The 27609-nt window shown below is 41.6% G+C and overlaps 1 protein-coding gene across 2 annotated transcripts in view, besides 1 other annotated feature; it reads right to left on the bottom strand.

Annotated features, from left to right (window-relative positions):
* FAM184A (family with sequence similarity 184 member A) overlaps nt 1–27609 on the bottom strand; it is a 189366-nt gene that overhangs the window by 154480 nt on the left and 7277 nt on the right. The window lies entirely within an intron of this gene.
* Nucleotides 22962–23256: a silencer, noted in NCBI's record as "tiled region #12550; HepG2 Repressive non-DNase unmatched - State 10:DNaseD". NCBI's record gives its function as "represses a minimal TATA promoter and a strong SV40 promoter by Sharpr-MPRA in HepG2 cells {active_cell/tissue: HepG2}" and the evidence as "EXISTENCE:reporter gene assay evidence [ECO:0000049][PMID:27701403]".

Here is a 27609-nt window from a genome sequence, read left to right on the forward strand (position 1 = left end):
CAGATTTGGCAAATAAAAATACAGAATGCCCAGTTAAATTTGATTTTCAGACAAACAGCAAATAGTGTTTTATTTGGCAACCCTCTATTGTCCCTGATTCCTCCCATGAATTTCAGTGCTTCAGTATCCACAGGGATGACCCCACTAACACAGCCTCTGTCACTAGCCTCCTAACCTTCCATGGCTGTATAAAGGAATGGACTTTCCTGCCCTCTGATGTCACCACTTCATAGATTCTTCTCTCTTGTCAATGCTCCTCCAGATATTGCCCCATTTATCTGTTATTTATTTTTTATTTTATCTCATTTATTTATTTTGAGACAGGATCTCACTTTGTCGCCCAGGCTGCAGTGCAGTGGCATGATAACTACTCACTGCAACCGCCACCTCCTGGGCTTAAGTGATCCTCCTGCCTCAGCCTCTAGAGTAGCTGGGACTGCAGGTATATGCCACCATGCCTGGCTAATTGTTGTATTTTATGTAGATATGGGGTTTCACCATGTTGGCCAGGCTGGTCTTGAATGCCTGGGATCAAGCATTGGCCTCCCAAAATGCTAGGATGGCCTTGGCCTCCCAAAATGCTAGGATGACATGAGTGAGCTACTGTGCCTAGCGTTTATTTTGTATATTGAGACAAGGTCTCACTCTGTCTCCCAGGCTGGAGTGCAGTGGCACAATCATAGCTCACTGCAGCCTCAACCTCTTGGACTCAAGCAATCCTCCCACTGCAGCCTTCCGAGTAGCTGGGAGCATTTTTTCAGGTGCTTATTGATCATTTGTATATATTCTTTGGAGAAATATCTATTCAAATCCTTTGCCAATTTTTCAATTTTTAGATAAATATTCACTTAATGTTCCAAATGATTTATAAATTTGTCTTCTTCCAAAATATTTCTGATGGTCTTCATTTTTCCATCAACCATATTTAAACTGGTCACAAAGAAACTGTTTATTCCACAGCTCAAATAAAATTGAATTTTCATATTCCAACAATATTTAAATATAGTTCATTCAATAACCATTTATTAATTATTTTATTTTAGGCACAGAGGAAAGGGAAATAAATAAGATACGGCTCATATGCCTAATAATTCTGTTCTGATCACCCTGCAGAAGTAGGATAGACCCCCATCCGGAACTTGATTCAGATGTCAAGACTGATGATGTGACTGGGCGAGGTGGCTCATGCCCGTAAACCTGGCACTTTGGGAGGCCAAGGCAGGAGGATAGCTTGAGACCAGGAGCTCGAGACCACCATGGGCAAAATAGTGAGATCCTGTCTCTAATTAAAAAATAAAAAATAATTTTAAAAGACTGATGATGCCACACATACATCAAGAAGTTATGAAAGGTTTGTTACTTACATAATGAGGCTTTCTGAGTACAGCAGGTCAAGTTTCCCAAGCTGGTTCAAATGGCTTAAGAGAGCAGGGTATATGGCAGGGTGTGGTGGCTCATGCCTGTAGTCTCAGTACTTTGGGAGGCTGAGGCAGGTGGATCACCTGAGGTCAGGAGTTTGAGACCAGCCTGACCAACATGGTGAAACCCCATCTCTACTAAAAATACAAAAAAAAAAAATAGCCTGGTATGGTGGCACACGCTTGTAGTCCCAGCTACTCGGGAGGCTGAGGCAGGAGAATCACTTGAACCCAGGAGGTGGAGGTTGCAGTGAGCTGAGATGGCGCCACTGCACTCCAGCCTGGGTGACAGAGAAAGACTCCGTCTCAAACACACACACACACACACACACACACACACACACACATACACACACACAACGAGAGAGAGAGAGAGCAGGGACTAGAGACTGTCTTGGGGCTTTATGGTGGTTAGGAGATGGGGCCACAGTGAGGGTTTCCCTGTTGAGGGTTTGAATTTCCTATCAGCTCCAAAGGAGAGAGAGCATGGCTTTTTGTAATGGCTTGCTCAGAGGTGGGGGCAGAAGGGGAAAAGGGACTGGTGGGCTTGAAAACTTCCAGTAGTCCATTATCCTAAGTGATCTAACACAAAGGCAAAAAACCAGATACCGCATGTCCTCATTTATAAGTGGGAGCTAAACACTAAGTACACATGATCATAAAGATGGGAACAATAGCCACTGGGGATCACTAGATGAGGGAGGGAGGGGGGCATGGGCTAAAGGACCCCATGTTGGGTACTATGCCTATGACCTGAACGACAGGATCGTTGGGACCTCAAGCCTCAGTGTCACACAGTTTACCCATATAACAAATCTGCATGTGTACCCTTAATCTACAATAAGTTGAAACCTGTTTTTAAAAAAGAAAACTTTCAGTAGTCAGACATAAAAAATAGACTCAGGCTCTTTATTACAAATCCCAGTCTAGTGGAGGAGAAAAGCAGGTGAATCAATAAAAACATTACAAGGCGATAAATGTCCACAGTGCTGTGCAAGTCCAGAGAAATGAGTGTCCAGCTGCCTGTGGAAGACTTCATAAAACTGGCATTGACTGGATCTCAAAGGGAAGAAGACTCTCTCAAAGCAGAGAAGGATTAAGGAGGACAGGAGGAATTTTCAGGCTTAGGGAACAGTATTTGGAAAATCACAGATATATGAAAGTGCATAGTGTATTCTGAAAACAATCCACAGTCCCTTTGTAAAGAGTAAGGGGCATCTGGAGAGGAAGCAGAGGCCAGAAGAGGACCCTGGGGAGGAAGTGTGTGTATGTGAGATGAGCTCTGTATGGCATTCTAAATGTTTTGACTTTATCCTTTGGAAAACAGGAAAGCCTCCCAGACAGGATAGTATCTGCATTTTAGAAATATTATTCAGGTCTCAGGAGAATTGGTGAGTGACCAAGTAGAACTACCAGGTGCGACCAGCAGGGGACACGATTGCAATCATCGAGTTTGGAGGCTAGGAGGACATTAACCAAGGCTAGGGGATTGGGAGTGGGCATAGATTTGGGAGACAAGTCTGTGGATCATTTTGTGTGTAAGGGTGAGAGAGAGTGAGAAACAAACTCTTGGGATTTTAACTTGGACTACTGGGAATCAGGAATGATCAACAGATTTCTGATTTTGGTGACCATGTACATAGTGGTGCCCTTAACTAGGCTAGGAAACAGGGAAGAGGGAAGAAGAAATAGTGAGATCCATGTAGAGAATGTTCAATTAGCAATGCCCTGGCAGGGCTTCCTGGCTAGTCCTTTTCGTACTTAAAGTTGTCAGTAGGCCATACTGCCACACAATACATTTGAGTACAGCAATGTATAATCGGACCCTAACCCAGGCGGCCTCTTCCACTGTGGTCACCTTGAGAGGCTATATCAGTTCTGTTGCTGCTGTCAGAGGCCCCATTGCTTTGAACATGCCTGCGACTCAGAGGTAAGACCTGCTTCTTACGTACCTTCACGGTTTATGAAGTACTTTATCTTAGGTGAACCTCAAAACAACCCTGTGAAGTATACAGTAGGATTATCATTTTTTACAGATAACAAAACAGACTCAAAGAGGTTGCTTCTCTAGTTCACATGGTTAGAAATGGAGGACTTGAACCCTCCTTTTTAGTGATTAATTTAATTGGTTGAGGATTTGTAGGACCTGAAAGTTTAGCTAGGTGTGTGGAGTCTGCCTTTTAGTGCAAGTTTAGCCAGCCAAGGGTTGAGAGAAACAGGCAGGGGTGGGGGTATCCCAGAAGCAGGACCAGTCAGGGACTCAGTTACAGGAGAGAAGCAGTCAGGGACCAGAGAGCTGGAGGCAGGGTCTAAATTCTGGATCACCCAGAGGGTCAAGAAGAGATGAAGTGACACCAAAGATCACTCAGATTTTAAGGCAGAAACTTTGCTTTCTGGATTGCTGTATATGGCCTTTGGGGCATGGGAAGCTCTGACCTGCAGTTATTAATTAAGCCAGGACCTTTCCATAGATGCAGAAGTTTGGTCTTCCACAATCAAGGATAATTCTTATTTTTTATAATAATGAAAAACTGGAGTGAATGTAAAACAGTACACTGGCTCCACCATTCACTAGCTATAAAATTAATTTAACATTCATTTCTTCCTATGTAAAATGTGAGCATAAAAATCACTGATCTCCTAAAGTTGTTGTCAGTATTAAATAAGACAATATATATAAAGGGCTTAGAATAATACTTAGCTCATATTAAACACTCAATAATAGTTACCTTTATTATTGTGGGAAATGATCTCAACAGAGTTTATAAAGCTATTATGTTTCTCATGAGTTGTTGCGGGAAGTCAGGGACCCCAAACAGAGGGACTGGCTGAAGCCATGGTGGAAGAACATGAATTGTGAAGATTTCATTGACATTTATTAGATCCCCAAATTAATATTTTTATAATTTCTTACGCCTGTCTTTACTGCAATCTCTGAACATAAATTGTGAAGATTTCATGGACACTTATCACTTCCCCAATCAATACCCTTGTGATTTCCTATGCCTATCTTTACTTTAATCTCCTAATCCCATCATTTTCGTAAGCTGAGGAGGATGTATGTCATCTCAGGACCCTGTGATGATTGCGTTAACAGCACAAATTGTTTGTAGAGCATATGTGTCTGAACAATATGAAATCTGGGCACCTTGAAAAAAAAACAAGATAACAGCAGTGTTCAGGGAACAAGAGAGGTAACCTTAAACTGACCGCCAGTGAGCTGGGCAGAACAGAGCCATATTTCTCTTCTTTCAAAAGCAAATGGGAGAAATATCGCTGAATTCTTTTTCTCAGCAAGGAACATCCCTGAGAAAGAGAATGCATCCCTAAGGGTAGGCCTCTGAAACGGCCCCCTTGGGTGCGGCTGTCTTCTATGGTCGAAACTGTAGGGATGAAATAAGCCCCAGTCTCCCATAGCGCCCCCAGGCTTATTAGGATGAGGAAATTCCCGCCTAATAAATTTTGGTCAGACTGGTTGTCTGCTGTCAAACCCTGTCTCCCGATAAGATGTTATCAATGACAATGCGTGCCAAAACTTCATTAGCAATTTTAATTTCGCCCCGGTCCTGTGGTCCTGCGATCTCGCCCTGCCTCCATTTGCCTTGTGATAGTGTATTACCTTGTGAAGCACGTGATCTCTGTGACCCACACCCTATTCGTACGCTCCCTCCTCTTTTGAAAATCACTAATAAAAACTTGCTGGTTTTACAGCTCAGGGGGCATCACAGAAACTACCGACATGTGAAGTCTCCCCCGGACACCCAGCTTTAAAATTTCTCTCTTTTGTACTCTGTCCCTTTATTTCTCAAACCGGCCAGTGCTTAGGGAAAATAGAAAAGAACCCATGTGAAATCGGGGGCAGGTTCCCCTGATAATGAGTTTGTAATAAGATGGCATACTTTAAAAATTGTTAGTATATGAACACAAAATAACCACAACTATAAAATTAAGAAAAAAAGAGACTGGAAAAAACTTCTCCAACATGTCATCAGTTTTTGCCTTTTTAAAAAAAGTAATAGCTATATTGAGGCTAGGTGTCGTGGCTCATGCCTGTAAACCCAGCACTTTGGGAGACAGAGGCAGGAGGATTACTTGAGTCCAGGAGTTCAAGACTGGCCTGAGCAAGATGGTGAGATTCTGTCTCTACAAAATACAAAAAAATAAAAAAATAAAAAATAAAAATTCGTAGGGCATGGTGGTTTATGCCTGTAGTCCCAGGAGGCTGAGTTGAGAGGATTGCTTGAGCCCAGGAGGTCGAGGCTGCAGTGAGCCATGATTGTGCCGCTGCAGCACAGCATGGGTGACACAGCAAGACCCTGCCCCAAATGATAATAATAATAGTCTTATTGAGACATAATTCACGTACCCTAAAATTCACTCTTCTAAAGTATACAGTTCACAGTCAGTTGTTTTTAGCATATTCACAGAATTGTGCAAGCATCACCAGCATCTAATTTTAGAAGGTTGCATCACTGCAAAAAGAAACCCTGCACCCATTTGCTGTTACTCATAATCCGCTTGTTCTTCCCAGCCCCTGGCAACCACTAATCTACTTTCTCTACGGATTTGCCTGTGGTGGACATTTGATAGAAGTGACATCATACAATATATGGTATTCTGTATCTTTCAGGAAACATAATGTTTTCAAGGTTTATCCATGTTTTAGTACGTATCTATATTCATTCCTCTTTATGGCCAGATAATACTCCATTGTATAGACACACTACATATTGTATAGACACTGTCCTTCAGTTGATGGACCTTTGAGTTTTTTCTACTTTGGGGCTATTATGCTGCCATCAGTATTAGTGTTCAAATGTGTGGACAAATGTTTTCGGTTCTCTTGAGTATATACACAGAGGTGGAGTTGCTGTGTCATATGGTAACTCTATGTTTCACATTTTAAGGAACTCCCAACTGTTTTCTAAAGTGGCTGTACTATTTTACAATCCCGCTAACAACGTATGAGGGTTCAAATTTCTCCATATCCTCATCAACACTTACTATGGTCTGTCTTATTAAATACAGCCATCCTAATGGGTGTGAAATAGGATCTAGTGGCAGAGCTGTTTCTATTTGAGTGGAGAAATGTATTACTTTTTTTTTTCACTCAATTTTATGGACTAAAATAAAGTGATGGTTTTTCTCTTTCTTTCTTTCTTTCTTCCTTTCTTTCTTTCTTTCTTTCTTTTTTTTTTTTTTTAGGAGACAGGGTCTTGTTCTGTTGCCCAGGCTGGAGTGCAGTGGCATGCTCATCCTGCCTCAAACTCCTGTGTAGCTAGGACTGTATGCAGGTACCACTGCATCTGAAAAACTTTCTTTTTTTTTTTGTAGAGATGAAGTCTTGATATGATGCCCAGACTGCTGTTGAACTCCTGGCCTCCAGTAATCCTCCCACATTGGCCACTCAAAGTACTGGGATTATAGGTGTGAGCCACCACACCTAGCCCTGTATTATATTTTTAATAGGAAAGTTTTTCATTTGTTTTGAGACAGGGTCTCACTCTGTCACTCAGGCTGGAGTGCAGTGGCAAGATCATGGCTCACTTTAGCCTCAACCTCCTGGGCTCAAGAGATCCTCCCACCTCAGCCTTCCAAGTAGCTGGGCCTACAGGTGCATGTCATCATACCTGGCTAATTTTTGTATTTTTTGTAGAATAAAGATAGGGTTTTGCCATGTTGCCCAGGCTGGTCTCAAACTCTTGAGCTCAAGCAGTCAGCCCACCTGGGCCTCCCAAATTGTTGGGATTATAGGCGTGAGCCACCGTGCCTGGCCTTTTAAAATTCTTTTTTAAGGAAAATTAAATCCATAAGCAGTATGAGAGTTTTAGTTTGAGTGCCATTTCCGTTAATTTTAAATAGTCCCTGAAATTGCATAATCCAGAAATTAACAAAACTTAATGATGTCAGCAAATTTGAAGTGGCATCTTTTCTTATTTATAAATATTTTAGCAGCACTGACATTCTAATGAGGACATCTAAGATATTTGCTGTCAGTTGAGTGATTATTTGGTATTTAAGTGTAAATTAACCCATCAGCTATATCACTTATATCCGGCTTCATGCTAAATAGTTTAGGAGGCTAAGTGGTTTGAGAATAAGGCAAAGTGATTTCTTAAAAAGGCATGAAGATCTGAACTGTCAGTTAAAAAGAACAGTATTGAACGCTGCTTTACCAAGATAAGTGACACAGTGCTTAACATAATTTGGCCCTATTTATTATCCTTTCTATGTAGACTCTTGGTAACTTTTTATTTTATTTATTTACTTGTTTGTTTCTTTACTTATTTATTTTTATAGAGATGCAGTTGTTGGCCAGGGTGGTCTCAAACTCCTGGCCTCAAGCAGTCCTCCCACCTCGGCCTCCCAAAGTGCTGGGATTACAGGCAGGAGCCACCATGACCAGCTTGGAACTTTTTAGTGCAACTCTTTTCTATCAGAGTGAATTAATTAATCCATCTCTTTGGAGTGCTACTGCTCTTTCTCTGTGGGGATATAGATCTTTCTAGAAGCACTACAGAGACAGCCCTCTCCATTCTGGACCTCCAGCCTTAGTGGTCAGGGAGAAGCGGAAAAAGGCCTCTGAAGGGAATGTCTTGCATTAATAGGGTTTCTAGAGGAATTCAGATATTGTTGGTCTAACAAGAGCAAGCTCCTTTTTTATGCCTCTGCTGTGTTAACTTAAAAAAAATACAATTTATCAATTTAGAAGAGTAGAAGAGGAGACTTTATTTTTTACAAAGGGTTGTAGCCAGCAAGGTGGCCTTTCTGACAGTCTGGGAAGCATAGTCTGTGGCCAGAAGCCAGAAACAGATACTTCAGAGGAGGGCAAAAGGAACAGGAATGTATGCCAAGTAGAGAGGTCAAACATACATATTCAATAAGCTGTAAAAGGAGTCATGAATATTTATGAAAGGAGAAACGTGCACATGCACAACTGAGCTTCCTGCTTCTTCTCCATGTTCAAAAAATGGCATTGGGAGGGGCGCGGTGGCTCCTGCCTGTAATCCCAGCACTTTGGAAGGCTGAAGGGGGTGGATTGCTTGAGTTCAGGAGTTCAACACCGACCTGGGCAACATGGCAAAACCCTGGCTCTACAAAAAATACAAAAATTAGCTGGGCATGGTAGCATGCATCTACTCGGGTCCCAGCTACTCGGGAGGCTGAGGTGGGAGGACTGCTTGAACCTGGGAGGTGGAGGTTGCAGTAAGCCGAGATCATGCCACTGTACTCCAGCCTGAGCAACGGAGGAAGACCCTGTCTGAAAAAAAAAAAAAAAAAAAAAAAAAAAAAAAAAAAAAAAAAAGGCAGTGATCTGAGGGTGGAGTTTTCAGTCCTCTAATGTCACAAAGTGAAGCAGAGGACATGAAAACCCTTACTGTGCATTCTCCATGGACTGGCCAGAACCACTCCATGGTCTGTGGTCTCAGGCAAAACAGTAGGGGCAGGCGGGGGGATGGTTCACACCGGTAATCCCAGCACTTTGGGAAGTGGAGGTGGGCAGATCACTTGAGGTCAGAAATTTTGAGACCAGCCTGGCCAACATGGTGAAACCCCATCTCTACTAAAAATATAAAAATTAGCCGGGCCTGGTGGTGTAGGCCTGTAATCCTATCTACTAGGGAGCCTGAGGCAGGAGAATCACTTGAAACTGGGAGGTGGAGGTTGCAGTGAGCCGAGATCATGCCACTGCACTCTACCTTGGGCGACAGAGTGAGACTCCATCTCAAAAATACCAAAAAACAAACAAACAAACAAAAACAAAAACAGTAGGGGCAGTGTTGGGTGGTTGGTTCACGTCAGGGGTAACATGATTTTAAACATGATTTAAATGTTTAAATCAAGCCAATAATGATTATAACTATTCCATTGGCTTTAACTTTTGAAAGTGTTGAGTTCTGTTAGGCCCTTAGGGAAGAAAGCCCAATCATGGTTGGCAAGGAAGGGAGTCTGACCCCGGCTCCCATCAGGGCCGAGAACTCTGTTTTCAACGTTACTCAGGGGTCCCCTTGGCAAAGAGATGATCCATTCAGTCCGTTGGAGGCTTGGAGTTTTATTTTTAGTTTACCATTGTTTATGTTGACAAGTTGATTGCTGTTTATGCTATTTGCAGTATGTATAGGTGTTTGGGTCACAGAATCTTAAGAAATAAATATGGACAGTTATATACTGTAGAGAAATATATTCAGAAACATTTGTTTCCTCTCTACTCTATTTTAAATTTGAAGTTAGCCATTTGCTGATTGTGCCATTACATTACAGTTGTAAAATGCAAGTTTAGATACATCTTCAGACACAAACATTTACAAAGCACACTCCAAGATACAACTTTGCACACTCCCAAAACATAGTGACTATTGCTATTTATGGAACTCTATGTTGCTGGTTATAATATCCACTTTGAAATTTCTCATTTTATTCTTTTTTTAAATTTAAAATATTCTCAGTTATTCATAGTCTTAGCCAATCAGTATTTATGCAGTTAAAGATGACAGCTAAAGAAATATTTTAGTTCAAAGGATTTTTATCTTTTGTTTCATTTGGTTTAATTATCTGGCCTCAAACAACTTAAATTCTGGCAGCATTGCTCTTACTCTAGTTCTTAGCCTTGAAAACTTCTTATATATGTCAACTATGTAAATAGCTTTACAGTATCAACATTCTTCTTGTAAGTTCAACAACTTTTATTGACTGGCAATGTTTTATGTAAATTGTAGAGTTATGTTGAAACTTATAAGGCATCTCTTAAATGTTTAAATCAAGGCAATAATGATTATAACTATCCCATTGGCTTTAACTTTCTGCCAGTAATTGTAATTATAATTTTAAAAATCTACATTTATTTATAAAATTTTACCTGGGGGTGTAAAAGCCTTCTCATACTCTATTAAAAAGACCATTATATGCTGTTAAAATGAGTCATGCTGAAATCATTGCTTACAAAGGGTTCATCTAAATGATAATGGGTATAATAAGGAAGTTACAACCTGGTAGTAGAGGTCTTTTTTTCCATCTGGCAAATCTAATAAAACGTGAAAAGACATTAAGTCATGAACAAACACCCAATTAGAAGATCAAATAAACTATGGCCCTAATTTTTTTTTTTTATATCTTTAAAGTACTTTTGGTAACAATTATTAATCTGTATATTCCAAGTAGATACAACCTCAGAAACTTTATAATACAACATTTGTTTTTAGCTTTCATGAGGTTATGTAGCTGATGAGAGAGATAAACATTTTGCCACAGGAAAATGCATATGTGCTTACTTGATTTTACATAAAAATCCCAGGGATCCACAGTTCCCTAGAACTCCTGTTATTATATTGTATTATGTATTGTAATTAAGCTAATTTTTACTAACGCTTTGAAAGTGCCTTGAAAGGTGTTATTTACAAATCATTCTTTATAAACATTGTTGTAGCTTGATATTCAGGCATTTTAATTCATATCCAGGCAGTTGTATCTATTAATAGTTTTTTAGAATAAGCTTTCAGAAAATTTGTATGTAAGTCTGGTCTATGACTTCAAACAGCTTTATTAATCAATCAACATATGTATGGTTAATAATTACTGTCTGGATCTCTTTCAGCAAGTCCAATAACAAAATATTATTTCCTTCTTTTTTCTTTTTGAGATGGAGTCTTGCTCTGTCACCCAGGCTGGAGTGCAATGGCGTGGCTTGGCTCACTGCAACCTCCGCCTCCCAGGTTTAAGTGATTCTCCTGCCTCAGCCTCCCGAGTAGCTGGGACTATAGGTCGGGACTATGCCTGGCTAATTTTTGTATTTTTAGTAGAGATGAGGTTTCACTGTGTTGTCCAGGCTGGTCTCGAACTCCTGACCTCGTGATCTAGCCGCCTTGGCTTCCCAATGTGCTAGGTGTTATTTCCTTATTTTAAAGCTCATTTCTTTACATTCATTGAAGAGTTGGTTATAAACCTAGACGGACACACCAATTTGCATACCATTGTTGGATAGCATGAGTTTTCTGGCATATACATATCTAAACTTTGCAGCCACAACTGGCAGACTACTTTTACATTCCCAGAAGAGTTGATCTAATTATACAGTGGACCAATAGGTCAACTTTCTGTGAGGAGTTTCCAGAGTCTTGCTCATCGTATGTGCCCAGAGAAGTTGTTGGAAGCAACTAGCAAGCCAGCAAGTGGAGGACTTCCTGGTAGCACTCCAGCCACTCAGAGTTGTAAAATTTCCCTGAATATGATCTGTTGTAGTTTCAGTGTAGAGGGTCTATTCATTTTCTATTACTGCATAACTAATTACCATAAATTTAATGGCTTAAAACAACAGCTTATTAGCTCACAGTTCTACAGGTTAGAAGTCCAGACATGACACAGCTAGGTTCCTTGTTCAGGGTCTCACAGGAATAAAATTAAGGTGTCAGCGAGGGCTGTGATTCTAATCTGAGGCTTGGGGTCATCCAAAGTTATTCAGGTTGTTGGCAGGATCTTGTTCCCTGTGGTTGTAGGACTGTGATTGCCACCTTCTTGCTCACAGAGTTGCTCTCAGCTTCTGTGGGCTGCCCACTGTTCCCTACCATGTGGCACCTTCATCATAAAAAGTCAGCAATGGAGAATCTCCTTTGCATGAAATCTCCCTCATGCTTCGAATTTCTCTTTCCAGGAAGAGCCCAGTCACTTTAAGGACTCATCTGATTAGGTCAGGCCCACCAAAGATGTTCTCCCTGAAACAGGAAATTTTCCCTGACCCCTTTGCAGCAGGTGGGAACTGGACTGTGGGCACTGGAGCTAGCTAGCTGCTTTGGCTGGCTTCACTTGCTTGGATCCACTGCACTCCAGCCCTAGTGGGACGGGGAGTGTAGCTGAGTGGGTGCAAGAGCCAGGGCGAGTGCTTCCGGGCACCGGCAAGAGCAAAACTCTGTGCAGGCCCCATGGCAACATCTAGAGGGGGAGTACCTGTGACTCCTGAAGCCCCAGAAGGAGTGTTAACAGTCAGTGCTCTTTTAGTTTTGCTGTCCACGGACAGCTTATGTGTTTAAAGGCTCAGTGAAGCCTCTGCCTTTTTGTGCGGGCAGAGGGTCAGTGTGTTAGCCTTCTGTACCCCGAGCTCTTGTCTGGCATCCAGGAAAAATCAGGTCTCACAAATGAATTTAAGGATAGTAAATGTGGGGGATTTTATTGCCAATGGAAGTGGCTCTCAGCAGGAAGGGGAGCTGGAAAAGGGATGGAGTGGAAAAATATTCTTCCCCTGAAGTCTGGCTGTCTCTGGCCGGACTCTGAAGTCCCATCATCAAGCCATCCCTCTGAAGTCAAGCTGCTTCTCCCCGATGTCCAGCTGTTTCTTCTCCTCTCAATGTTCAGCTGTTTCCTTTTCTCTGCCAGCTGGGTCAGGGGTTTTTATGAGTGCAGGATGGTGGGTGGGACAGGCCATGGGTGGTTTTGGAAAAAGGCAACATTCAAGTGGGAAAACAGGAATGCATGTTCTCACTTTGGGCTGTGGTTCCAGGCTCGAGGGTGGGGCCCTTGCCGGGAACCCCACCCTTTTATGCCTAGAATTTCTCTGCCTCCTGTCCCTATCACCCTTATCTTAAGGTCAACTGATTTGGGCCTCAAATTTCACCTGCAAATCCCTTCACAGTAGCACCTAGGTTAGTGTTTGATTGAAAAACTGGGAAAAGGTGTGTGCACACTAGTGGTGGTGAGGTATCTTGGAGGACACCTTAGAATTCTACCTACCACAGTGGAAGGGCAGGGCCTAGGATCTGACAGGGGAAAAGAGTAGCTAGGACTGTTTTCTACTCTTTAGAAAAAATATCTAAACACATGCAAATTGTGAGAGGACATATCCTGGGTAACTGTCAATGCTGGTAAACCTCATAGAAAGAGACTTTGCCCAAGACTTGGGAAACATGCCCCTGCCACTATCTAATTATGTGATCCCGGTCAAATGATTTAACTTCTCTGGGTTTGGAGCTGAGAGAACCGAATGGATCAGGAATTCCCTACCAGGTAGGAAAGCAGGAGGGAAGCAGCTACCCTAAAGTCAGCTGGGGAGCTTTTTCAAAGCAAGCATTTCTCCTTCCTTCCCAAGATGTCATAACAGTTGGGAGTGGGGAGAGAAAGGTTGAGAAGGGAGGCATGAGTATGTGCAGTGTGGAATTGTTCTTCAGGTCATTCCATCATTCATGCATTCATTCATTCATTCATTCATTCAACAAACATTCATTGACCGTCTACTTTGTGTCAAACACTGTGTTAAGCACTGATAATGTTAGAGTTGTAAATCAAAAATAAAATTCTAAGCCCCTCAACCAACTAAATGGACCCCCTGCTTGGCCCAGGAGATCCCAAAGAAACCTGAAACACTAGTTCAGGCCATGACTGGAAGGTGGAGGTAGAGTAGCCAGACATGCCTCCTTATAACCTCCTCCCTTTGGAGTTTAGGCACAACTGACTACCATTAACATTAAAACAGAGATCTTAAGACTGACAAACAGACTCTTTGTAGCAGTAAGGTATGCAAACCCAGGTTTGGCTGCTAACCCCTGGAAAACCAGACATGAGAGACAAGAATTGGTGGGAAGAAAAGCAGGCTTCTTTGGAAAGCCCGCAAAACCAAGAAGATGGTGGACTAGTCACAAAGACCATCTTAAATTTTAAAATTTTATCATAGGGTTTTTAAAGGGAAACTTGGTATGGGAGATGTGAGGGACTAGTGCAGGATGAAGGGTCTGTATGTTTGTTCTGATGGTTATCTTGGGTAATTGCCTATCTGGAAGTATGTTTGGCATTATTTTGTCTTGGGCCAGATGGTGGTGGACTAATTGTTTGAGACTCCTTCTAAGCAGGATGATTAAGCAGGGGCTCTGTGCCTGGTTTGTTTCAAGATTATCTTCTGAAATTTCTTAAGCAAGAACATAATTAGATAAACATGAGTTACTGGAGAGGAGTGTCTAGAGAGGGAGGGAATAAAAGGGTGAGTGGGGAGGGAAGGAAGAAAAAGAAAATGTGTGATTAAAAATATTTTTAAAACTGAGGCCCCCAGTTACAATAAAATACCAAATTCTAACCTGACTCTGGTATAGCATCGCATGGCAGATAGCAGGCCTGGAAGGAAATCAAGGTATTTTACCCCCAAATATATTTCTTTGACATATTTTGAAATGGTCCTGCAAAGCTGTCTCCTGTGGATGGGGGAGGGGCCCTGGAATTTGCATTCTGTAGAGAATCCCCTTCCCTTACTAGTTTTTTTTTTTCCGGAGAGCCTGACACCTTTTAAGGTCCAATAAAAAACACTGTCTATTCTCTCTGAAGCCTGCTACCTGGAGGCTTCATTTATAAGAACCTTAGCTTCACAATCTCCCTTAACTCAAGCATTTCTTTGTGCTGACTTTAAACTCTTCAGGCAAAACTCAACTCTTTCAACCAATTGCCAATCAGGAAGTCTTTGAATCTACCTATAACCTGGAAGCCCCTCTCTCCCAGATGTCGCACCTTTCCAGGTCGAACCAATGTGTACCTTACATGTATTGATTTATGTCTTTGCCTGCAACTTCTGTCCCCCTAAAATGTAAGAAAACCAAGCTGTAACCCAACCACTTTGAGCACATGTTCTCAGGACCTCCTGAGGATCTGTGGCTGGGCAGAGACACCTAAATGTGATCTGCAGAGGATTGCATAGAGAAAGCTCTGCCTGTGGCTGACATACTGAGAACTAACCTGGGCGCCTTACAGCAAAACCATCCATGAAGCAGATGTGGTGGGGCTTTCCTGATCTTTTAGGGCCCAGATGCATTTCACTGAGATGCATGTTGCCTTTTTCTGAAAGCGTCTCATAATTAGTCTTTACATGTGTTTCAATCTGGTTTCACACTCGTTAACTGCTTAAATTGTAGAAAGCGCATTTTATTTCAGTCCACTAGGGGGAACCAGAGGGATTAGGCATTGGAGCTAACAAGCCTTTAACATTCTTAATACTGTAATTAGAGAAATTTCTAGGGGTTCTCAAAGTGAGCTGACTTTGAGAGAGCTGAATAGGGGGGTGTTTTTTGGTTTCATTTTTGTGTTTTGTGTGTGTGTGTGGGGGGTTGTTATTGTTGTTTTCTTTTTAACTTATTTGCATAAAAGACTATTTTTTAGAGCAATTTTAGGTTCACAGCAACATTGAACAGAAGGGGAGTTTAGAAATATGTAGATTTCCAGCCCTTGCCCCCAATCCACAAAATCAGAAGCTTTGGGGATGTGGCCCAGAAATCTCTATTGTAAAGGTTGGTGGAATATCTGCCTTTGGCAAAAATCTACTTAATTATATAAACTTTAAGCCCACCAGGGGCAGGGACACACTGCAAGTTCCTAGCATCCACAGCAAGATGTACAAACAGAGGCTCGCAAGGTTTTAAACATTTTTTTTTAAAGATAGAGGTGAAATACTTGGAGATTGTCAATATTTGGAGTATGAGTCATATATTTTTCCATGTCAATATTTGGAATATGAGTCATATATTTTTCCAGTTGAACAACTTCAACTGTTAAGCAGAATCCACATAATTTACTTAGAGCCCAAGGAAAATCTGAAAACCACCATTTGAGGAAGACTTCCGGCTCCAGAAATGAAATTTTAGGGAGCCCCCAAATCAGAAAACAGTATATTGTTTCTGAAATAAGCATTTAATGAAAGACTGACAGATTCCTGTAGATCTTATCCAGACTCAGGGAATAGAAATAAATGCCCTAGATTCAATTGCCATTAGACACAGATGTTTCCATAGTATCAAATACATTCTGGCACACTGGCCAACAGACACAAGTTGGAGTTACAGGGAGAAGAGAGGCCATAGAGATTGTCACAGGGGAGGATTTAATACATTCTATCTTCATAAAAAGCAGTTTAGTATAAAATGAAGATACTCATTGATTTATAGGGGTGTATGTTAGATAGCCCAAGTGATATAAAAAAATTAGCAATCTAGTTTAAGAAACACAGAACTGCCTACCCTGATGGACCCTGCTGCACTTTGGAAATTTACAAAGTAATTTGTTTAAACAAACGTCAAATTGCCAGAAATCATATGATAAGACCCGGTCTTCGTAACAGGTCTCTGAAACTCTAGTTTGAATATCAAATAAAAATTCAGAACAATGATTTGCCTTTCCCAAGGTCCACCTGAAGTGGGTATTTGACATAGTGTCCTGCTCAGAATTGTATTTCTTTTTTTCTTTTTTTTTTTTTTTTTGAGATGGAGTCTCGCTCTGCACCTAGGCTAGAGTGCAGTGGTGTGATCTTGGCTCACTGCAACCTCTGCCTCCCGGGTTCAAACAATTCTCCCTGCCTCATCCTCCTGAAGTAGCTGGGATTACAGGCGCCTGCCACCATGCTTGGTTAATTTTTGTATTTTTAGCAGAGATGGGGTTTCACCATATTGGCCAGGCTGTTGTTAGACTCCTGACCTCAGGTGATCCACCCTTCTCTGCCTCCCAAAGTGTTGGGATTACAGGTGTGAGCCACCATGCCCAGCCAGAATTGTATTTCTTGATGCCAATGAATTTCCTAAATCAAAGGTGGAAGGAAATGGCCCTTTACTTCCTCCATCTGAAGACGTAAAGATTCTCAGCTAGTCAGACTTGAAACATTTATCCTAAAATATTCTTCTGGATTAATTAAATAAAACAATAATTTAAAAATATTGCAAGGCTCAGTAATAAGTTGGAATAAATGTGGAAACAAGATTCCTCTCTTTAAGCTTTTACCTGAGGCATCTGGGCAGACTGGTGGCAATCTTAGACTTCTTCCTTATTCTTTTTTCAAAGGTTTGTTTGCCATGTATGGAGGGCACTCATACTTTTATTTATTTATTTATTTTTTGGAGAGGGTCTTGCTCTATTGCCCAGGCTGGAATGCAGTGGTGTGATCACGGCTCCCCGCAGCTTCAACCTCCTGGGCTCAAGCGATCCCCCTACCACAGCCTCCTGACTAGCTGGGCACACAGGTATGTGCCACTATGCTAGACTAATTTAAAAAATTTTTTTTTTGTAGATACTGGGTTATTGCCCAGGCTAGTCTCAAATTCCTGGACTCAAGCCATCCCCCCACCCAGCCCCCCAAAGTATTGGGATTACAGGCATGAGCCACTGTGCCCAGCCTTATACACTTTTATAACCTAACCTACTATAACATAAAATAAAATCCTGTATTGTGTTTTGTGCTATAGATACATTTTAATACAGGAAGACAGTGGAGTATTGGAAGATGTGGTAAGGAGAGTTATAGGGATAAAGCTATTCTTTAATTTATTCTCAAACTAACATTTGGAAAAGAGGTTATATGAGAGAGAACAGTATAGTTTTTAATACTCAAATCTTCCAAGGAAAGCTTGTAAATGAATAAAATTCCATTTCTAGCTAACTTGGTTATATTTCCTTTCTTGCATAACCATGCCTCATTTTAAGAGTAAAATTTTAAAAACTTTGCTCCCCCATAAAACATTCCTTCATTTGTTTATTTCTGTTTTGAAATAACAAATGCCAAATTCTGTGTAGGTTTTAATGATATTGAGTGTCAGAATATTTATCATTTCTCTCATAATAATCAATTTACACTGTTAGCCATCCTGTAATAACTGCAAAATCAGTTTTAGTCTCTTACCTGCCCCTTTCTGCTAAGAGTTTATCTTCTATCAGCCTATGGTTGCAAATGCAATGTAATTTGCAGTAAGCTGGTTGGCAGCAAATCGTGGTAAATCCTACTAGCTGGCTTGGCTAGAGGACAAGAGCTCTTGTTTGAGGTTCTGATACAACTCAGCCACAAGAGAGCATTAAAATTGTCATCTGGTGCTACAACAGCTGCCTGGATCCCAGTCTCTGTAATTCATGCACTCAAAATCCACATTTTTGAACAGAAAGGTAATTACAATTGTAAAGGCCACTTTTCATTCATTTGCAAATTTTTTTAAAAAACGTACTCATCTATTTTCCCACACATTAGCCACCCCTTACTCTGCCCTGTCTATTCTACCTCTGAGAGACATTTCTAACGGACTTACAGCTCTCTTTTCTTTTGAATGAGGATGTAGCTGTCTAATCTTTTGCAACACAGTGACCCAAGTCATTGCTGCAAATTCTTGGAAGTTGGCACGTGAGGTGAAATCTACTTATTAGCCTGGCTTTGAGCTGCAGCTTTCAGGAATATTAGATTTCAATTAACTTTTCCCTTGATAGCGAGGAGCTTAGAAGGTGGGTTGACTGGGATGCAGATGTTCACATGAGGCCCCATAATTTTAATCAACTCTAAGAGTTGAAATATCAGGGGACAAAGAGTGAAATCAGGCAAAGAGCGAAATCAGATAGGATTTGTTCATAAATACTACTGGTTTGAGGCTTCTCACTGAGTTGAAGAACTGGGCCGTAGTAAATCTTATTTGATTCTGCTTGTTTATACTCAATTGTGGATATTTTGTGGGATCAATGAGGTAAACTCATCAGAGGTCTGAGAATTAGCAAAGTCTTAGGAGGAACCATGTGTTCAGAAGAGAAAGCTTGACAAAGTGTTTGGTGCATAAGTTCTACTAGTTGGTTGTTGCCAACTGCATTCTACAGCTCAGTTCCTATATAGGCTTTTTTGGTGTGAGTTTGATTTATTCTGAATTGTTTTACTAGTTTATTATAAATTATATTAATTGAGGATTGATAAAAGTAATTGTCACAGCTTAAGATCCCTAGGAAGACTCCGAAATGGAGATTAACATGCAGGAGGGTTATTAGGGAGTGTTCTTGTTGTTAGCACCTATGGAAAGGAAAGGAAGGAAGTAGGATTGGGCAGAAGTAAGAGAAGCGGGGCTGCAGTAGAGCCAAGGGAAAGCCTCAGCCTACCCTACAGAGAGCTCTGAAACTAGACTAGCTCTTTGTAGTTGGCCTGACTTGCGGTAAGTTGGGCCTTTGTACCTCATGTTAACCAGTTACCTGAGGTAGGCTGCCCCAAGAAATGGGTGTGATGTGGGCAAAGTGACTTTGTTCAGCTGAAGAAGGCTGACCGTTGAGGGCTGTCTGCCAGCAGCACTCTTAGCTGCTGGGAGAATTACTTCACCTCAGAAGGGGGTCCTCCAAGTCACATCACAGTGTCTCTCAGTGTCTCTTACAAGTACACAGGTGCATACCACCACACCTGGCTAATTATTATTATTACGATTTTTAATTTTTTTTGTAGAGACAAGATCTCATTATGTTGTCCAGGCTTGTCTCAAACTCAAGTTTGATCTTTGGGAGGCCAAAGCAGGGCTCAAGTGATCTTCCTGCTTTGGCCTCCCAAAGTGTTGGGATTACTGGTGTGAACCCTCATGCACAGCGAGTAAGCATTTCTTGAAGAAGACACAAAAGTGCAAAATACACAGGAAAAGATTAATACACTCAGTTACGTTAAGACTAAAAATCAGGTCATCAAAAGACGTAATAATGAGAATAAAAAAGATAAACTAAAAATTGGGAGAAGGTATTTGCCACTCAAACTATTGACAAAAGATTAGTACCTAGAATATAAAACTTTGAAGAATCAATATAGAAAAGACAAACTAATACAAAAATGGGGAAAACACAGGAACTCTTAAAAAAGGGGAATACAAATAGTCTATAATCTTAGGAAAATGTCAACCTCATTGGTTATCAGGGAAATGCAAACTCAAACTAAACTGTGCGGTACCAGTTTTCAGTTATCTTTTTCTCCTAAAGATATTATTGCACATCTAATAGATTGATACAAATTTAAAAGTCTATTGCGGGGGGTGCCAAGATGAGAGGATTGCTTGAGTCCCGAAGTTTGAGACCAGCCTGAGCAATGTAGAGAGACCCTACCTCTCCAAAAAATAAAAGTAAATTAGCTGGGCATGGTGATGTACACATGTAATCCCAGCTACTCAGGAGGCTGAAGCAGGAGGATCACTTGAGCCCAGGAGGTCGAGGCTGTAGTGAGCCATGATCATGCCACTGCACTTTAGCCTAGGTGACAGAATGAGACCTTGTCTCAAAAAAAAAAAAAAAAGAGAAAGAAATAAAAAAAGAAAAAAAAGTGTATCACTTCTTATCATAAAAGGACACAATATACTCACTGAGATCACATGGGAAAAACTCACAGGCAGAAGAGTTAACAGAATGTGAGTCCTCCATCCTCTTGACATCTTTCTGGGGAGAGAGAGGTTCCAGGGGCATTAAATCATGTTGGCTCTCCTCAATCCAAGGGTGTGGAGCAATGGAAACACTATCCCCTGCTTGTGGGAATATAAACTCCTATAACCATGTCCAGAAATTTTTGCAATATTGCATTTTGCATATTGGAGAGTTGAACCTGTGCCTAACTTTTGATCCAGCAATTCCCTCCTAGTACGTTCCTTAAAAATACTTTCGTACATATGCACTAGAAAACATGTTTGCAGAAGCCTTACTCTTAAGAACAAAAAGTAATAAATAATACATAAATGGATAAACTAATTGTGGTATACTTATACAGTGAAATACTACTGAGTAATGCAAAACGAATGAACTACAGGTACATGTATCAACCTAGAAAACAATATTAAACAAAAGACTCAAGTTGCAAAGGAATGTGCACAATATATTTTTTTAGCGAGCCATATATATGACATAAAAATATACAGAAAAGAGAATGGTCAATACCCAATACAGAATGGTAGTTACATCTGTGGGAGAGGGATCAGGAAGTAAATGGAGAGGAACACACAAAAGGCTCTAAAGAATTGGTAATGCTGTGTTTCCCAAAGACCATTAAGAGCTTATTATTATTCTTTAAACTCTACAGATACATTTTAGACAATCTTTTTGTAAAAATGATATGCTTCACAATAAAAAAATTACAGTATTCCTTCAAAAAGACATAATTTAAAATGGAAGGGCTATTTCAGTGAGTGAATGAATGTTCTTAAATATTCATCACAACACATCAAGCATCTCCCCATCTTCCATTCCTCCCTGTCAGAATAGAAAAGTATAAATGGACTGAGCCTGGAAAAGAGAGTTGAGTTTCCACAGTTCACAAATGTTACTACAAAAGTCTTGGTAATTTGTTCTCAGAATTCCCTCAGAGAAGAGCTAAACTAGAATAATAAGCTCAGATCCATACTTCACGCAAAAGAAGATTAGAATTTGGTTGAAATTGATTCACCAGGTGAATTCTACTATTTTTTAGGTCTGTAGCATTTTAGTATTAAAATATTAAAATATATATTATTCTTTTTATTCTCCTAAATGTTCAAATGTTTCAGAATAGAAATCTTATCAACTCTGTTGTTACCCAGATGGCCCTAAATATTAGGGTTTTCCTGCCAAAAAAAAAAGCAGAAAGAATATTTCCAGGCCGGGCGCGGTGGCTCACGCCTGTAATCCCAGCACTTTGGGAGGCCGAGGCGGGTGGATCATGAGGTCAGGAGATCGAGACCATCCTGGCTAACAAGGTGAAACCCCGTCTCTACTAAAAATACAAAAAATTAGCCGGGCGCGGTGGCGGGCGCCTGTAGTCCCAGCTACTCGGGAGGCTGAGGCAGGAGAATGGCGTGAACCCGGGAAGCGGAGCTTGCAGTGAGCCGAGATTGCGCCACTGCAGTCCGCAGTCCGGCCTGGGCGACAGAGCGAGACTCCGTCTCAAAAAAAAAAAAAAAAAAAAAAAGAATATTTCCAGAAGTATACCACATTTTTTTCTAATGTGTATACTAATCACTAAAATTGTAAAAGTAAAATTCTTGCCCAATTATAGATATCTTTCAATATGTGTATGTATTTTAGTTGCATAATGATATCAAGATAATTTATTGGCATTAAAAAAATTGGCAGCGCAGATTTGATAGACCCATGTGTCACTGAGAGTTTTTTGGGTGGAAGCAACCAAATCCAAATCTGACTAGTTCAAACTAGAAAAGATTTTTTGGAAGTTTATGGACTGTTTCATTAAATTGAAGAAGCAACTGACCAACCAGGCTTTGGAAAGGGTAGGAATTAGGGTAGCTCCAGGAATCTAGATAATGGGACTTGTCGGGCAGTATTTGTTCCTAGATACTATCATGAAAATAAACTCGCTTCAGTATTTTTTCAATTCTTGTGTCACTGTGCTTAACTTTCAAATTCCTGCTACTGTCTGGCCTGGTTTGGGCCACATGCCCGTTTCTTGGCAAGAGAAAAGTATGGCATAATTGACAGTTCCACCAAGACGGCTACAGTAAGAGGGTTGACATGGTGCTGGGAGAAGTCTGGGATTGTCCAAAGGAAAACCAAGATGCTGTTACTAAAAAAATGGGGACATTGATGCTGGACTGGCAAAATTGCAGATAGCTACTATAACCTCTTTAGCAGAAATTAATTTTGCTGTAATCTTCTTATCCAGAATAATTGTACAATTTATATTAGTGCTACAAACATCTGGGCACTGTCCCAGTCTGCTCAGCTGCCATCACAAAAAACTATAGACTAGGTGACAGACTGTTTAAAGTAGAAATTTATTTTCTCACAGTTCTGGAGGCTGAAAATCTGGGATCAGGGTGCCAGCCTAGTCTGGTTCTGGTGAGGGCTCTCTTCTTGGCTTGCAGAGAGCTGCCTTCTAACTGTGACCTCACATGGTCTTTCTTCTGTGTGTGTGTGTATGTGTGTGTATGCTTGTGTGTGTGTGCACGCCAGATAGAGAGAGACAGAGAGAGAGAAGAGAGATAAGAGAGAGGAAGAGCTCTTTCTCCATTTTGTTATAAAACCAGTCCTATCAGATTAGGACCCCACCCATATGTCCTCATTCAACCTTAATCATCTCCTAAAAGCCCTATCTGCAAATACAGTCACAATTGGACCTCATTTAATCTTAATTACCTTCTAAAGACCTTATTTCCAAATACAGTCACATTGGGGGTTAGGGATTCAACATAAGAATTTTCAGAGGACACCATTCAGTCCACAGTAGGCACCTACTATGGGACTCAGAATTTGCTAACTCATTTTTGATAATCTTCTCATTCTTATGCACAAATATGATTGCAAAATCCAGTGAGTGAGCACCAGCCATTTCCTGAGTCATCTGTCAGGGGTTTGTCAGGTTCTATGGGGTTTACTGCTGTTGGCAGTCCTGTCTCTCCTCCTCCTGGACCAAGAAACCCTGTCCTCAGAGCCAAGGCCCTGTCTCCGATGTCTACGTGCCAGGCTGGCTTGTTTGAGTCTATTACTATTCTGTAGTTCAGCTCCACAGCAGTCACTGCTCCAGTCTTTGTAGTGTTTCCTCTTCTGTCTTGCAGATACCCCAACAGAAATTCTTAGCAAGGCCGGGTGGAATAGCAGACAGATGTGGAAGTCAGAACAGCTGTGTTCTATCCCTAGCTCCGGCACTTAGACAAGCTATATGAATTTAGGGAAATCACTAACTTTCAGTAAGTTCTTTTATGCCATGAGTGTGCATTGCTGTCTTTCAAGTTTTGTGCTAGGTATTGAGAAGTCAGTGATACATACTATGAAGGAAACATATAGAATGCTATGAGAGCATGAGGATTGGGGGAGTGCAGTTGTTGTAGGATCAAGTGAGATATGTGAGCTACCCAAATTCAAATGACTACTTTGGGATCTGGAGTTCACTGATTTCTTTAATAGAAAGTACTGTTTTTCAATTTCCTTCCTTTGTTAGTTTCCTGCTGCTGCTATAACAAATTACCGCAAACTTGGATTAAAACAGCACCAATGTATTATCTTAAAGTTCTAGGGGTCAGAAGTCCAAAATGTGTCTCACTGGGCTAAAATGAAGACATTCTCAAGGCTGATTATGCAAGCTCTTGGGGAGAATTCATTTCCTTACCTTACCAGCTTCTAGAAGCGACCTGCCTTCCTGGCACATGGCTGCCCTCCATCCTGAAAGCCAGCAATGGCCAGTCAAGTCTTTCTCACATTTCACCACTCTGACACACTCTCTCCTTCCTCGCTCTTTCACTTATTATTATTATTATTATTATTATTATTATTATTATTATTATTATTTTTGAGACGGAGTTTGGTTCTTGCTGCCCAGGCTGGGGTGCAATGGGGCGATCTTGGCTCACCGCAACCTCCGCCTCCTGGGTTCAAGCAATTCTCCTGCCTCAGCCTCCTGAGTAGCTGGGATTTACAGGCATGTGCCACTACGCCTGGCTAATTTTGTATTTTTAGTAGAGACGGGGTTTCTCCATGTTGGTCAGGCTGGTCTTGAACTCCTGCCCTCAGGTGATCTGCCCTCTTCGGCCTCCAAAATGCTGGGATTACAGGCATGAGCCACCGCACCCAGCCCCTTTCATTTATAATGATTCTTGTGGTTATATCAGGCCTACCGGAATAATCTAAAAAACCTCCCCATCTCAAGATCCTTCACTGAATCTCATCTGCAGAGGCCCCTTTGTCATGCACGGTAGCAGATTTCACAGGTTCTGGGGGCCAGGACGTGGACCTCTCTGGGGATGGGGCTTGGTCCTGCCCACTCCTCTCCCCATGTAGCTCAAATCATGAAACAGAAGTGGTTTTATCTGCTTTCCTTTTAGTTTTGTTCTCAGTGGATAACTAAGCAGTAAAGTGACTGAAACACAGGGACAACCAAAGCTAAATCAGCCTCTTTCTCTGGTGCCTGAAGAGTTTCAAAAGAAGCCCAGAGAGCTTGCTCTTTATTAGAAAGTCAAGTGTCAAAACCACAGGCCTCTCTGGAGCGGCTGGGGAGAAGGGCCCAGCAGTTTGTTTCTGGTTATCACACTTAACTCACTGTTCTCAGAATATTCCAGCCAGTATCTGGAAATCTTTAACTGTGAGTGCTCTGTCGAGGAAGATTTCCTACCTACAGGGATACTCGTGGGGAGAAAAATTAGGCACTTTAAAGAAAATCCCTGACATGTTTTACAGCAGAGACAGGAAAAAATTCAAGTGAATAAGAAAAGATATGGAACTTATTTCCTCATGGGAGACAAGATTCTCAGCAATTTCTTAAAGTATTATACGTTCTCATAATGTTGTATATTTAAAGTAAAAAAAAAAAAAAACCACTGGGGATATTTGGTGACCCATTTAAAACTAAATTAATTGGCATTTCATTGTCAGGGTCCAGGCTGTAGTTTTACAAATCTCTCTCTCTGGCACTTTTAGAAAAGCAGCTTTGAAAAAGAAGCAAAGGGTTGTCTTCACGTCCTCTTTTTTTTCCTTCGAGCAAATGACTAGAGTTTCCTGATTCCAGGTAAGAAACTGCCAATTCAATCACAGCAAGTGAAAAATTAACCCTTTCAGATGCACAAGTGTGTGAGATGTGAGTGAATTCTGCAGCTGCTGCCATCATCTGTGCTCACTCCCCAGCTTTGAGCAGTGGCGCCTTGCTGGGGCTGCCCAGGGTGGCTTGGACCTCAGGCCGCTGAGTGAGAGGGCTTAAGGACTGGCAGTGGGGAGTTGCTAAAAATGTGTGGGTCTTCATCTGTAAAACGGATTAGTAAAAAAATATGTGTGGGTGAAAGTGGGCTTAAGAGGGAGCTTGGGTACTAGAATGTTCAAGAAGGCAAGGTCATCCAGGAGGAAAATGGTGCAGTCTGCCCTCATGAGTTGCCTTGGGTGTGGTAGGGAGAGGACATTGAGGATGTAAGGGAGTACCAAGAAAGGGGAGCAGGAGAATGCATTTTCTGGCCACGTGTCTTTATTGTTTGCCATTTCCCATGCTAGTGGGTTGTCTGATCAGATTTGCTTCTTCAGTGAAAATGATTCTCCACTTTCCCTGGCCTCATGAGAGAGCCCCTGGGAGAAGCAGTGAAACTGACTTCAGACAGGATGGGCCTCACCTTTGAAGGACAAATGCACAGGAGCTACCCAATATGCAATATTCACTTTCCCAAACTCACAGGGCGTTTCTTTCTTCCTTTCTCAGCCATTTTCGGAACCATGCTCTCCGCTTTCTTTCAGTCCTTGTAATCAGCATCATCTCATCCGCACCTTTCAACCACTGGCAACACAATGCCTGCAATCTGGTTCCCTCGCCTTCCTTCTCTGCTGTTGCAGTTTGAAGTCTCAAGGGCACCAGCAGAACAGAGGCTGCTTCTGCCAGAAATTGAGTCTCCTTTCCCACACTCCAAGCAGGAAAACCGGTGAAAGGGAGGCGAGGGAGGGTCTCTCTTTCTCTTTCAGAATCCTGGTATGAGAACCCTGCTAGGATTTACACACAGCACTTTATTTTGCATCGTGGTCTACAGCCACTGTCTTTTCTATTAACGCTAGAATTGATTCACTAGGTAATAAATGGAGGAATCCTCCCCAGGCTTTCCAGCAAAATTACTTATGCTATTAGTAGCATTAAGCAGGCGTTGACAACTGGAGATAAGCCACCTGATGTTCTGTCTTCTGGGATATGTGGAAGCCAAGGCTACTTTATATGACCCGGAGTAGGTGATAGGGACAAAGGAGAATGTAACCATTTGCATCTCAAGTCCTTTTCTAAGATTTGGTCATATTAGAAATTGCTCTTTAATTCTTTTACTAGAGAGCCACAGCTCATTAAAACTAACTAGACCCAGAGAGCATAAAATAACAACACTTTAAAACTCAGTCTTTGCCTTAGGGTTTAGCAACCTGCCTAGTCGAATTGCCCTGGTGTTGATCTTACAGCAAAGATGCCTCTGTAAATAAATCACCAGGTGGCCCTGTCCAAGCCTCTGAGAAGTTTGTGTCACTGAGTTTGTCACTTCTTCCTTCTGGCTGGTTGCAGCTCGACAGTCGAGTGCAGCGTTGGCACCAACCGGAGGGGCCTGGATGCAGGGCTGCTGCCTGCTGCATGGCGTGGGCGGGGGGAGGATCCAGGGAATCCTTTGCCTGAACTCCTTTATTTTATTTTATTTTATTTTTTTTGAGACAGAGTCTGGTTCTGTCGCCCAGGCAGTGGCGCGATCTTGGCTCACTGCAGTCTCTGCCTCCCAGGTTCAAGCGATTCTCCTGCCTCAGCCTCCCGAGTAGCTGGGACTACAGGTGTGTGCCACCATGCCCGGCTAGTTTTTGTATTTTTAGTAGAGATGAGGTGTCACCATGTTGGCCAGGCTGGTCTTGAACTTCTGACCTCAAATGATCCACCTACCTTGGCCTCCCAAAGTGCTGGGATTACAGGTGTGAGCCACTGTGCCCGGCCCCTGTGCTCCTTAAAAAAAAAGTACATCTTGGGGCCCCAGAGCTGCATGTTGTGGAAAGAAGCTGTGTGATAAAT

This window comes from Homo sapiens, chromosome 6, assembly GCF_000001405.40.
Source record: "Homo sapiens chromosome 6, GRCh38.p14 Primary Assembly".
NCBI classification, from domain to species: domain Eukaryota; kingdom Metazoa; phylum Chordata; class Mammalia; order Primates; family Hominidae; genus Homo; species Homo sapiens.